The sequence below is a fragment of the Homo sapiens genome, chromosome 4, assembly GCF_000001405.40.
Source record: "Homo sapiens chromosome 4, GRCh38.p14 Primary Assembly".
NCBI lineage: Eukaryota > Metazoa > Chordata > Mammalia > Primates > Hominidae > Homo > Homo sapiens.
Window position 1 is genome coordinate 38,079,035 of NC_000004.12, and position 12,926 is coordinate 38,091,960.

General features: G+C 43.2%; 1 protein-coding gene across 27 annotated transcripts in view, besides 1 other annotated feature; it reads left to right on the forward strand.

The window, feature by feature from the left end:
- TBC1D1 (TBC1 domain family member 1) overlaps positions 1–12,926 on the forward strand; it is a 248,090-nt gene that overhangs the window by 187,951 nt on the left and 47,213 nt on the right. For all 27 annotated transcript variants that reach the window (XM_011513659.3, XM_011513660.4, XM_011513662.4 and 24 more), the window contains one exon: positions 10,898–11,083. In XM_011513659.3, coding sequence (XP_011511961.1) covers positions 10,898–11,083 — 186 coding nt within the window. The remainder of the gene's footprint in view (positions 1–10,897; positions 11,084–12,926) is intronic.
- Positions 19–128: an enhancer, noted in NCBI's record as "active region_21424". NCBI's record gives its function as "activates an Ori minimal core promoter by ATAC-STARR-seq in GM12878 lymphoblastoid cells {active_cell/tissue: GM12878}" and the evidence as "EXISTENCE:reporter gene assay evidence [ECO:0000049][PMID:35858748]".

The window sequence follows — 12,926 nt, forward strand, 5'->3', positions numbered from 1 at the left end:
TTCTCAGCAGGGTGTGACAGCCCGGAGTACCCTGGGCTGAGGAGGCCAGGGCTGGAGGGGAGGCTCCCACGGTGGAGGGGTTGAAAGCTGGGTTGTAATGAGCTGCTTTTCTGTAGATGCCTAAATGATGTGGGTTGAGAAATCGTGATCTTAGCTTTTAGTAGTATATTTTTCTGTTTATGTTAGGTGAGTCATCAGTCTGTCTCTGACTATGTTCAGATCTGGAAGTTTTCTGGAAGGAAATTTGTTATTGCTGTAATAGTGTAGGTTGTTGATCTGGATTAGCAGGGAGCGGCCCCTTAATACATTCTTAAGAAAATGGTATTTAGTTCAGTCTTTGGCTTTGAACTTTGCCTTTGACAAAGATGAAAGTGCGACTTGACTGGTGTTTGAAAAACATGGTGATATGGCCAGGTGTGGTGGCTCATGCCTGTATCCCAGCACGTTGGGAGGCCGAGGCGGGCAGATCACCTGAGATCAGGAGTTCGACACCTGACTTGGTCAACGTGGTGAAACCTCATCTCTACTTAAAATACAAAAAAATTAGCCAGGTGTGGTGGTGTGCACCCATAATTGCAGCTACTTGGGAGGCTGAGGCAAGGGAATCACTTGAACCCTGGAAGGCGGAGGTTGCAATGAGCCAAGATTGTGCCATTGCAGTCCAGCCTGGGCAACAAGAGCGAGACTCCATCTCAAAAAAAAAAAGCAAGTTATATTACATTTTAAAACTCTATTTAATGGTCAGGTCATCCATCCATAATGGGTAGAGTCATTGCTTAATTAATTTAAAACAATGTATTTAAAAGGTACCTTTGTTCCCTAGTGTCACATAACGTGAAATATCCAATTAAGGTAACTGTAATGTAAAGTAAGTGGCTAAAAAAGTGCTGAACGCCAAAGGCCAGAGATTCAACCTTTTGTGTGCATTAGAATTTCCCAATTGTTCAAATCCAGGTTGCTGGATCTACCCCAGAGTTTTTGATCCAGTAGGTTTGGGGTGGGACCAAGAATTTGCATTTCTAACAAGCTCCCAGGTGGTGTTGAGGCTGAAGCTCGTGTGGGGACCACATTTTGAGAACTTCTCCCGTAGACTGAACTCATGGTCTAGGTTCTGTCAGCTGTGACCCCTGTGCTGCTGGAGGGAGTGGTCAGATGTCCTGACCTCTGTGCCCACAGTGAGGTCCAAGCTGAGTAGGTTTGACCAGCAGCTGTAATCACAGAGTGAACAATGTAAACGACCAATGTTGGGTGGTCTGACATCTTTTAAAAAAAATCCACGTGGATGAGATCACAGGGTTAAGTGTGGGCAGCAGTCAGGGTAACTCCATGTGGTTACTGCCCATGCACTCTCTGCTGTTTTTCACCTCTTCTTCAGAGTGTGGTCAGGATGGTGGCCTTGCCCAGCACAGGAGGCCCTTTTCCTTCTGACCACCTGACCTGACCCACCTCTTAGCATCTGCAGGCACTCCCTGTCCCTTCGCTGGGCCCCGTGGGGAACTACTTGCAGTCATCAAATTCATCATGCTGCTTTCTTTTAATTCCCACACTTGCCAAGGTGGGACTGCCCCGCATCTCCTTCCCAGTCGTGTGTCAGAACTCAGCACTGGACCTTTCCCCTTTCCCCACTCCCACCCCTCCTCACCCCGACGAACGTCTCACTTGGGATCATCTCTTCTGAGGTTGGACCTGCACAGCCGCCCTCTGCACTCTCGCCACCTTATGGGCTGCCCTTGACCCCTTGGCACACAGACCTGGAAGTTGGCCTGCTCAGCTGTCTCCTTAGGGGTGGAGCTTGGTTTTCTTTCATCACTGTTCTGCGATGAATTGAATGCATGATTGGTCACAGGAAGGTAGGGGAGGGATAAACACCTTATGATATGTTTCTTATAAGGTTTTATATGTAGAAAGTTATATGAAAGTGTCAGATATCTATATATGAAGTATATGTGAAGTTTTATGATAGTTTTGCATAATTTAAGAATAAACTCTTTAAAGGAGCTGAGTCCCAATCCCTTGGGTCGAGAGTTGCGTGGCTCCCGGGGCCTGCTTGTTTCCTTCCACTCTGCGTGTTCGTTGCTGGCCCCTCATAGGCTGTCCCAGACCTCTTTGACTTCTCTCCTTTCTGCCCAGTCTTCCCTGAGACGCTCCAGGCTCCCTGGCCTCCTGCTTCTCGGAGCTTCTCTTGTGTTTGTTTTCTGTGCTCAGGGCGCCATGGTGCTATAGGCCACAGAGGAGGCGTCTGGGGTCCCTCGGGGCAGGTGCAGCAGGAGGAAGCCGTCTCCGAGGGCATGACCTTGGAACTGAGCATTGACAGAGGAGAGTCAGCCAGACAAAGAAAGGCCAAAACCCCACCCCTCTCCCACCCTATTTCTACGTGACCATGGGCCCTGGACACAGCAAGACGGTGACCCCGGGCCTCCTATTGTTGCGAGGAGCCCCTGGGAAAATGTTGGCATTTTCTTCATAGAACAGGTTTCTCTTCTCCAGTATTCTTCAGTAAATCAACTTTCTTTTTTATCCCCAACCCCAGTCTGATTGCGAAGAAGTCTAAGCAACAGAAAGATTTTGCCAAATAGATTATCTTTTTTAGAACAAAATAGATCATGATATTAATAGGAATTCAGCACTTACTCTTGTCTAAGTACTGTTTTTAAGTGCTCTCAAGGATTTTTCATTTAATCCCCACAACAAAGCTGTGGGGGGTGGATGCTATTATTATCGGTGATTTATGAATGAGGAAACTGACACAGAGGGGTGGTCGAGGAGCTTGCCCATTTCCTGGTAGTTAGTACCAGGGCTGGCATCATCAGTTGCCTGCTCCTTTTCCTCTTTGCTTTTGTGTCCATTACCCCAAGGCATTAGGATGAGCCAGCCAAGTTCTAGTCCTGGATTCACCACCTAATTAGCTCTGTGTCCCATGTCTTGCCGTGGAGGGATAAAACCAATTCCTAGCTTATCCGTTGGTGGTGAAGATGAAATCAGTGGGGTACTTGTAAAGCACACTGCCCAGCACATAGTAAGTGCCCAGAAAATGTGACGTCGGACCTCTTTAAGCTTCAGTTTCCACATCTGGGAAGAGAGGGGGAGTTGAGCTAAGTCATTTTCCAGTGTCCCTTTCAGCTCCATGTTCCTGTGAGCACTGACAGTTTCCCCACAATACTGAAGAAAGAAGGAAAATAAGGGCGGGGTGGCGAAGGTCGCCACTGTGACGTGGCTGCTGGTGGGAAGTCCCTGGGGAGGCAAGGCCCAGCTTCCCAGACACAGCCCTCAGGTGCTCATCCTGGTGGCACTGACCAGGGGCCATGGTGGGCTTTTCCACCCCACCATGTCTCATAAAATTACAAGAACCACAGTTGAAAATCAGTGTTACAGAAATGGTAATAGGATAGGGCAAACTGTTACAAAGATCAGCACTTAAGATTCTGGCTGAGGCGGAATATTTGTTTCTCTTTAGTTTTGTTGTCTTTAATCAAGAACTGAGAGCCCTGACTTTCAGCTCCTCAAAAAATACAGCTTCCTTCCCCTTGCAGATGCAAAAACAAACGCCACTTCTTTCCAAGCATAATTTTCTCCCATGCGTTATCTCCTGTCTACAGCTTTTTCTTGATCCTTCTCCAGCTCCTGTAGACCTCCCATTTAGAGCCACCAGCCGCCCATCACTGGGGCTGCGCAGAGCTCTTGGTGCTCTGTGCCCTGGGCTCGCCCACCCAGGCCTGTTCTCTGTGCCTCTTCCTGGTTCTCTTCCCTGGACTTCCCACTGCCGTGTGGTCTTCAGTGCTCCTCTGAGCTGTTGTCATGACCTCTAACCAGACTGAGTCAGGACTTTTTTCTTCCTCATCTCTAAGTCATCCTTACACAGCCTTGGAAGTTTACCCTAAATGGCTATTTTGGGAGGGAGTGGGGATAAAGATCTGCAGGCCTCTTGCTCCTGGTCCTTGTTTCTGCTTATCTTGGCTTCTGTTTTTAAGTGTGTGTGCACCTCTTTCCTCATCACACCCTTCCCCTCCGTATGGCTCCCATCTCAGGCAGAGTTAGGTGCTCTGTTCTGTGTCCATAGCTCTTTTTCGAGCCCTTCTTCTCACTGTTTGGTAGTGGCCTTTCATGTGTGTCTGATCCACTAGGCTGTGCACTCCCTGCCTGCCAGGATATGGTTAAAGTGCTAAAGAATGTATATATGAGATCACTTTTGCTTAAAAAACCCCCAATCTTCTGGAATTCCCAATTTCTAACCAATTAATATGTGGATTGACTAGACCTTAAGCAACCAAGAGTCAGCCAGCCTTGTCTTCTATATTCAGGCGCATACTATCTGGTCGTTAGACAAAATGGGTCATTATCAGTGATGAGTTAATAATTACCTGCACATCTTGTTTATGCTGGTTCTTTACCTAAAGTGGCTCCCATCAATTAAACCTGTATGGATTTTACCTGTTCTTCCAGAACCACCCCACTTTCCACAAAAACTGACAACAATGATGGTAAGAAGAATGGTAGTTGACATTTTATTAAATGTTTACTGTGTGCAGGCTTGTTTTTTTCCACACATTTACCTACTTAATGCTCACAATAATCCTATGAACTAGTCAGTTTTATGCAGATTTCGCAGATTAGGAAACTAAGGTGGCAAGTGATCAGATAACCTGTTTGAGGTTGAGTAGCTAGATCATGGTAGAGCCAGGTTCAATCCCAGATACCTGGCTCCAGGGCCCATGCTCTTGACCTTATAAACGGCTGAAATTCATCTTTTTTTGCTGAACTTCCAGAACACTTTCTTTGTATTTCCCTTATTTTGGTAGTCTTGTACTTCTCTGCTACCCTGATTCATACTTGGATTTCTAGCAGCATGCCTGGCATGAGGCAACAACTTAACAGTATTTCTTTATACCAAATGAATGTTGTCTTTTTTTTTTTTTTTTTTCTTGAGACAGAGTCTCGCTCTGTCGCCCAGGCTAGAGTGCAGTGGCACTATCTTGGCTCACTGCAAGCTCCGCCTCCCGGGTTCATGCCATTCTCCTGCCTCAGCCTCCCAAGTAGCTGGGACTATAGGCGCCTGCCATGGCGCCCGGCTAATTTTTTGTATTAGTAGAGACGGGGTTTCACCGTGTTAGCCAGGATGGTCTCGATCTCCTGACCTCATGATCTGCCCGCCTCGGCCTCCCAAAGTGCTGGGATTACAGGTGTGAGCCACCATGCCCGGCCATGAATGTTGTCTTTAAAAAATTCTGTTTTCCTCTAGCTAGACTGTCATATAATGCAACTGTAGGAAATAATCAGGTTCTCTTTGGAGTATTTTCCATAAAAGATCCACAGAAGTCATGGCAGGGTTGAGAGTGGACTTGGGCAAATGAATCTGTTCATTCATTGAATATTCCATGCATATCTGCTGTTTCCCAGGCATGGGATATGGCAGGGAACACAGAAATCTCTGCCTCCTGGGCTCTGCTTTCTGTTGTAGTAGAGGTAAAGCTGCTCATACTTTGTAAACAATATGACAACATTAAGTCTACATGGTCATTTTACTTTGTTTTTTTCTAAGAAATTTTGAGCTGTTCGTAACAACAGACGCTGCAGATGTTAATCCCGTTGTTGTTAACTTTTCTCCAGAGATTTAATGTTCAATTTTCTCCTTTCCAGAATCGATTTATGTTGTTCAAACAGAGGTTTGAGAATAACTGGAATTTTTTTAACTTCTTTTTTTTTTTTCGCATGGAGTTCAGAATTTTCAAGAGGGATGAAGAGAGTTATAAAATGCTCTATGGTGGGTAACACACAGAAAAAGCCAGAAAATTGGAGAATAAGGATCTGTCTACTCGTTTCCTTCTAGAGCTCCTCTTTCTTACAGGGCACTTAACATGTGATTTAATGTCGTGTCTTTAAAAGGAGGAGAACTGCAGTTCAGAACTTAATGTCAGTGCTTTGTGAAAGTGCAAGAAAGAAGCCCTGTATTCTGCACTTGAGAGAGCCAGATACTGGGCAGATAGGAGGTGGTGTGCACGTTGCTTTTTGTCTTTCTCGATCATGGCATTGATTCTGTTCATAACAATGATGCAATGTCATCCTCTTCCCCACACATTTGTGTGCAGATAGAAAGAATGCAACAGCACAGAGTTGTTGGGGAATAATTTGGCATCTAAAATATCGACATACCAGCATAGATCATATTTATGACTCTGTTGGGAGTGTCACAGCAATGATTTAATAGGAGGCAGTTGTCTCCAAGGCCTCCTGAATTATGACTGGTTTTAAAATTCTTAGAACCCATTGGAGGCTATTGTTTCTGAAAGGCTACATAATTTAAGTGCTCCACATCCGTCATTATAGGAGATGTCAGAATAGTAAAATCTAATCCTGGACTAAGTTGTTATCGCAGCCCTTTGGTTTGGTGGCTTTGCCGACTTTATAAATATGCCTGTCAGTGCCTGTGGTCTCTACAGTTGGGCAGTCGGCGGTGAATATCATTTCTCACATTTTACACTGGGGGACTGGAACCCAGAAGGCATATGTTTTCCCAAGAGGCACCAACACAGTTGGCCCATGAGGTAGAGCAGCCCCTCCTTCGGCTCAGCCTCCGCTGCACTGAGCCAAGCCAAGCTTCCTACACTGGCCTCTGTGCAGCTGTCTCTCAGCAAGAATGCAAGTCGGGGAGAGAAGCCGGATCCCTGGGATTGTTCTAGAGAGTAGAAACCTCAGAGTAGCCCTCCTTAGACCACCTAACGCATTGCATCGCTGCATACATGTAAGGGACTCAATGCTGGTAGGATTGGCTTAGGAATGATGCAAGTGAAAACAGTGCCCCGGTTTATCATTAGAACAAGGTTCTTAGCTGACAGTTGCCTCAGACTTTGATTTTGTTCTCCTTGACCTGCCACTCCACTCGAGTCCACATCTCTCAAGACTGCACACGCCTGAAGGAGGACTGATTACAAACCAAAGCCTTGTGCCCAGTCTGGATCTTTTTGCATTGTTGAGAAAGCAGCTTACTTTCTTTGGACTGATTCAGCAGGCCAAATTTAGAACAAAGATTTTTAACTATCTCCCTTTATAAATTACTGAGCTATTTTGTAGCCAGGCTACTCTTAATATGAACAAAAAATATTATACAAATTTGTTGTTAATCGTAAACTATAAAAAAATCAGTAATTGTTACCACGTGAAATGAATTTGGATAAAAGAGATACGTTTTTGCCCCTTCCCAGGGTTTAGGAGAGACGAAATGGTGAGATTTTAGCTCTGAATCAGAGGTTCTTATTAGAGGTGGTTTTGTTCCTCCTGACCCCTAGGGGATATTTAGCAATGCCTAGAGGCATTGATGGTGGGCAGATGCTACTATGCCCTCTGCTAAACATTCTACAGTGTATAAAACTGTTCCTCCTGACAAAGAATCATCCAGCCCCAAAATGTCAGTAGTGCTGAGGTTGAGAAACCCTCCTTTAAACTCTTGGGTTTATTTGCTGACCTTTACAGTGGATCAGCTTTTATTTAGTTCATGTAGAGGTGAAATTAATACTAGTGCTCAAATATGTCTTTGTATTCTGGACTTGGCCTGGATCCCCCGACCAAATTTGGGACAAGCTCCTGCCATGTGTTGAGGACCTGAATTCAGGCAGCTAACAACAGTATTTGAACTGTGTTTTCAGTGGTGGGAGTGAAGGAGATGAGCCGACGTGCTAGCAAGCGCATAGGGTTGCATGAGGAAATAGAGAGTAAAGCTGCAGCGTGGAGCCCTGCTATTCAGAGTGTGCTTGGAGAAACAGCAGTGGAGGCATTACTGGGGAGCTTGATGGAAATGCTCCCCTCAGACTTGCTGAATCAAAATCTTTAATTTAGCAAGATCCCCAGTGAGGCTTGTGCATGTAGAAGTTAGAGAAGCACGGGGTAAACTCTTCTTTTTTTTACTTTGGAGGAAAATACACCTTTTTTCTTATTATGGCTCTGACCCTTACTAGCTGTGTGACCTTGGCCAAGTTATAAAACCTCACTGCACCTTATTTGTTTTAGCTGGAAAATGGAGATCATAATATCACCTGTCCTATGAGATTGTTGTAAGAATCAAACAAGCTTATTTATGCCAAGAACCCATATGGTAAAAGCTCAACAAACTGTCACTAGTGATAATAAGAAAAAGATCACAAAAGTAGAAAACATTAGGGAGACAGCTTAGGTCTTAAATCTCACAGTTGTCGTCCCCAAACAATACTTGTATTTTTGCAGATCCAGTTTCTCTGAATACTAAAATAAAACCGGAGTTTCATAAACTTCTATAGACAGTGGTCCTTGTCAGTAGCCCAAGTGGCAGAGAGTACATGGATCTGGGGACAAACAGCCTCTACTGTTAGGAATGTTCCATCCTCCTGGCCTGAGTTACACCTGCTCATTGTGATTCCGAATTTGAAAGGAACACAGTAGGAATTTTCAAGACCCTGGGAAGAGGAAGGCTGTGGTAAACAGGAAGGATGAGATTAGAAGAAGGAGTTTAGGTGAGGTGAGCCCTTGTTTTACTAGTAGGGTTTAAGAATATCCAAGTCAGCTGGACATGGTGGCTCACACCTGTAATTCTAGCACTTTGGGAGGCCGAGGTGGGCAGATCACCTGAGGTCAGGAGTTCGAGACCAGTCTGGCCAACATGGTGAAACCCCGTCTCAACTGAAAATACAGAAATTAGCAGGGCATGGTGGCGCATGCCTGTAATTCCAACTACTCACTCGGGAGTCTGAGGCAGGAGAATCGCTTGAACTTGGGAGGTAGAGGTTGCAGTGAGCCAAGATTGCGCCACCACACTCCCACCTGGGCAACAGAATGAGATTCCGTCTCAAAAAAAAAAAAAAAAAGAAAAAAAAAAAAAAGAATATCCAGGTCAACCCCACCTAACCCTCAGCGGGGCTCCCTTCTGTTGCCTGGGTGGGTCCTGGGTTCTCTTGACGCACACGAGATTGTGAGAGTGTATGGAAACACTGCCCTCGCTATCAGGACAGCGCCTGCCATGCCAGCCAGAACACATCATAGGAATTGCAAAACTCTTTTGCAAACCAGTGAGAGATATGCTTCCAATGTGAGGTAAAGCAGAACTTTAATCACAGCTGCAGTGTTCCACAGAATTCCAAGAGCCAAGATGGTAAAAGAATAAAAAAAAAGAAAGGAAAGGGCTCAAATTAAAGACTTCAAGCTGCAGAATAAGATTAAATAAAAGGATTCAATTGAACTGCATCATATTCAGTAATGACTAATCCTAAGTATACAGGGTTTGGGGGTGAAAGGATTTGTAAGTGTTTTGCAGGAAAATATTTTTTCCATCTTTCATTTTAATTAGAATAGATTTGCATTATTTTTTCTTAGTTTTTATTTTTAAAATATTTATTGCCACAAATTTAGAAAATACAGGGAAAACATAAATAACAGTACATGTAAACCAATATTTTGTCCCTTCTTTTGTTCAACAGCTATTTCTCAGGCACCTGCTGGGTGTCAGCAGCTGTGCTCAGTGTGGTGACCAAAACCCTTGTCAACAAGGCAGCAAGGTTCTAACCTGGTTAGGGCTTACAGTTGAGTAGCTGAAATTTTGATTTCTTTTCTGTGCCCCTAGTAAAGATATGATAGCAAACAATAAGAGCTATTTTTTTTATTGTGTTCTTACTCTGTGTTGGGCCCTGTTCTCAGTGGTTTATAGCCTATTAACTCAGTCTCTTTACCACCACTCTGAGGGGAGGCTCTGTCATACCCACTTGACAGATCGGGAAGTGGAAGCATCAGGAGGTTAAGCAACTTGTTAAAGATCACAAAATCAATAATGACAGAGTTTTGATTAGAATCCCAGCAGCCTGTCTCCAGAACCTGCCCTATTAAGTGCAGTGCAACTGTACTGCCTTTCATAATATGTATCAAATTGAGATGATACTTTATAATTTCAATTCTTGCTTTTCTATTGAACAGTACACAGTAACATCCTCCTATAATGCATATAAACCCCCAAAAGATGTAGAATTTTAATTTATTCATTTGTCTGATAGGCTCATAATGAAATAAGACTCTATAAAGCTGTGTAATTTAGATATAGGAAACATTTGGATTATAGTGGTATGTAGTGGGAACAAATGGTCTTCTGAATCAGGAAGACATGAGTTAGAGTATGCCGGTGTACCTCCTTACTCACTGTATGACCTTGGGCAAGTTTCTGAACTTTAGTTTCCTTTCCAGGCTAATATCTGCCTTCTGGACTTGTCATCAGGATTAAATGAGTCTACCTATATAAAATGCCCAGCGCAGTGCCCAGCACGTGGTAGAAGGTCTGCTAGTGGTTACTGTTACTGCTGGCTATTAAATACATTTTAATCTTCCTTCAGAATACCTGGCCAGATAGCACAGTGGTTAAGAATGCACATGAAAGCCAGACTGTTGGGTTCCAGTCCTGGCTCGACTCCTTCCTAGCTATGTGACATTAGGCAACTTACATAAACTCCTTGTTCCTCAGTTTGCATTTCTTTAAAACTGCATAGTTATCATACCCATGTCTTAGAGTTTTGTGAGTGTAAATTATTGTATATAAAGCTCTGAGAACAGTTTGGTACACAGTAGGCACTGTATGAACATTTTCTGTAATTATCAATAATATAATTATTAAATAACATTTTCAGAAGGAGATAAAAATATTACACCTTAAAAAGCAGGTATCTTTAAATTCTTCCTCAGCTACTGAAGTTTTGCTTACTATTTGACATATCATTTGTTTCACGTTTGTGGCTCAGACGTGGCTTATGCCAATGCATATTAACACAGGAATTTTAAATTTGGTGATATTATTATATTTTATCTGAATGAACAGAATTTGCTGATTTGACACTGTGTTTGAATGTGCATTTTTTGTTGAAAAATGACAATTCTGGAATGCCGTCTCCCTTTCCAGATTATTCAGAGCTGGGAGAGCTTCCCCCACGATCTCCTTTAGAACCAGTTTGTGAAGATGGGCCCTTTGGCCCCCCACCAGAGGAAAAGAAAAGGACATCTCGTGAGCTCCGAGAGCTGTGGCAAAAGGCTATTCTTCAACAGATACTGCTGCTTAGAATGGAGAAGGAAAATCAGAAGCTCCAAGGTTGGTTTGCCATCTTGATATTGAACAGGCCTGGTCTTATCTTGGCTCTGAAGTTAATCACATCAGACATAAGCATGCTGTCTTAAAAATACAGCAGCACGATAGTCTAATGTATACATCTATCTATATCTGTTTACTTTTTCAGAGTAATATTAACACTGTTTACTTTCTGGTGATCTAATGATAGTTTCACCAACAATATTCATTATTCCTCTATGGTCACTGTTAGTACAGTGTTTAGAACTTCTGAGATCCAAGCTTTAAATCTAAGCTCTAACACGCTGAAAGGTGCTTTTCATTTTGTTTTGTTTTCCCCTCTGTCTCTCTCTCTCTCTACTTTATCCTCAGCCATGGTCTGTGCCTGTGTGTTAGGTATGAACTTTTCTTGTGTAAGTCATTAACATACGTAACTTCACTCTGTGTGCTTTTTCAGTGATTTGCAAGTAATCTGAAAAAAAAGAATTAGCTGAGTTCTACCTGTACTGATATCAATAGTGTCAAAATATGACATGAACTTTGAAAGTTTAGATTTTGTTCATTTCCTGTTTCCATGCTGACACTGGAACCAATTAATGTTATCTTCAAAGTAGCTTAAGATGCAAAGTTTACATACTCTTTGGAAAGAGCATGAGTCTTAGGGTATCTAGAGAACTGCCCGGTGATAAAGTAGTGAAGATTTTGAGCAGGAAGTCTGCATAATCTCTTTCAAAGGGAAGATGTAGCAGATGGTTCAGTCACCCTGCCATTGCCCCAGAACAATTTTGGAATTACAGTACATTTCATTCAGCATCATTCTTGATTGCAAATTTTGATCTTTTAAAATGACCTTGATGCTTGTATAGAGCTAAAAAGTCATTAAGACACCAACTCTGAGGAATAAGCTCCTGAGAATGTGTTGCATCTGTGAGTTTCAGTTGCATAGCTAGTGTCATAGCGAGTGGATAGACGTTCTCTGTGCATGTCCCTACAATGCTTGTGAGTTATGACAACACTGTGTACGAGCAACATAGTTTCTGCAGTTGAAAAGTACGAATTCATAGAATGTAAAGAGATAGTGTCTATATCTTTTGACTGAAAACAGAAAATGAGATATAAAGGAATAAGACCTTTCGACATGAAAGTAACCCCACAGTTGGAATAGGCTAGTAAGCTTTCCAACATGCAGTTTTGAAGCTGAGAAAGACGGGTCCTCTCATCAGGGTGCTGTGGAAGATGATAGCACACTGGGGGGCGTTTAGAGCAGGTGAGTGCTGTTTTCTTCCAACCCAGTTTTTCTGCCACTTTCTTATGTTTTTGTGAAGGTAATTTTAAAAGCAGATGTCTAAAAGATGTTTGGTAGTGATGGCATTACTGCATGTGTCATCAGTTAAATGACAGCTCGGGAGCACAGCAGTTATGTTCGTGTGTATCTTGGGATTTTTGTTGAAGAGGAAAAAGGCAGTTATGTTCATCATGTAGGTCAAACTTTAATGCCAATACTGGCCAATATTCTTGCAAATGACAGCCATGTAAAATCAGGGCATAGCTATAAAATGGGAACGGTGCTCACAGCTGGCTTCTTTGTGGTGAGGACAGCTATAATTGGTGAGGCAAAACCAGTGTGCCACAAAAGCAGAATACATTCTGCTGTGCAAGCAATGACCAGACAGACTAGAATGAAAAGGCAAGAGTTTCCTAAGGTTACCTGGAACCCCTTGCCAGGTGTTGCATTAAGTTTACTGGCCCTTGCCAACATTCTTCTAATGCTTCCTCATTTCATCTGGCTTCTTGGCAGTGTTCAGTTTTTGTGGTCTTTTATTTTTACTGTTTGACTTCATTTCTCTTCTTAGCTCTGTAAAGTTCC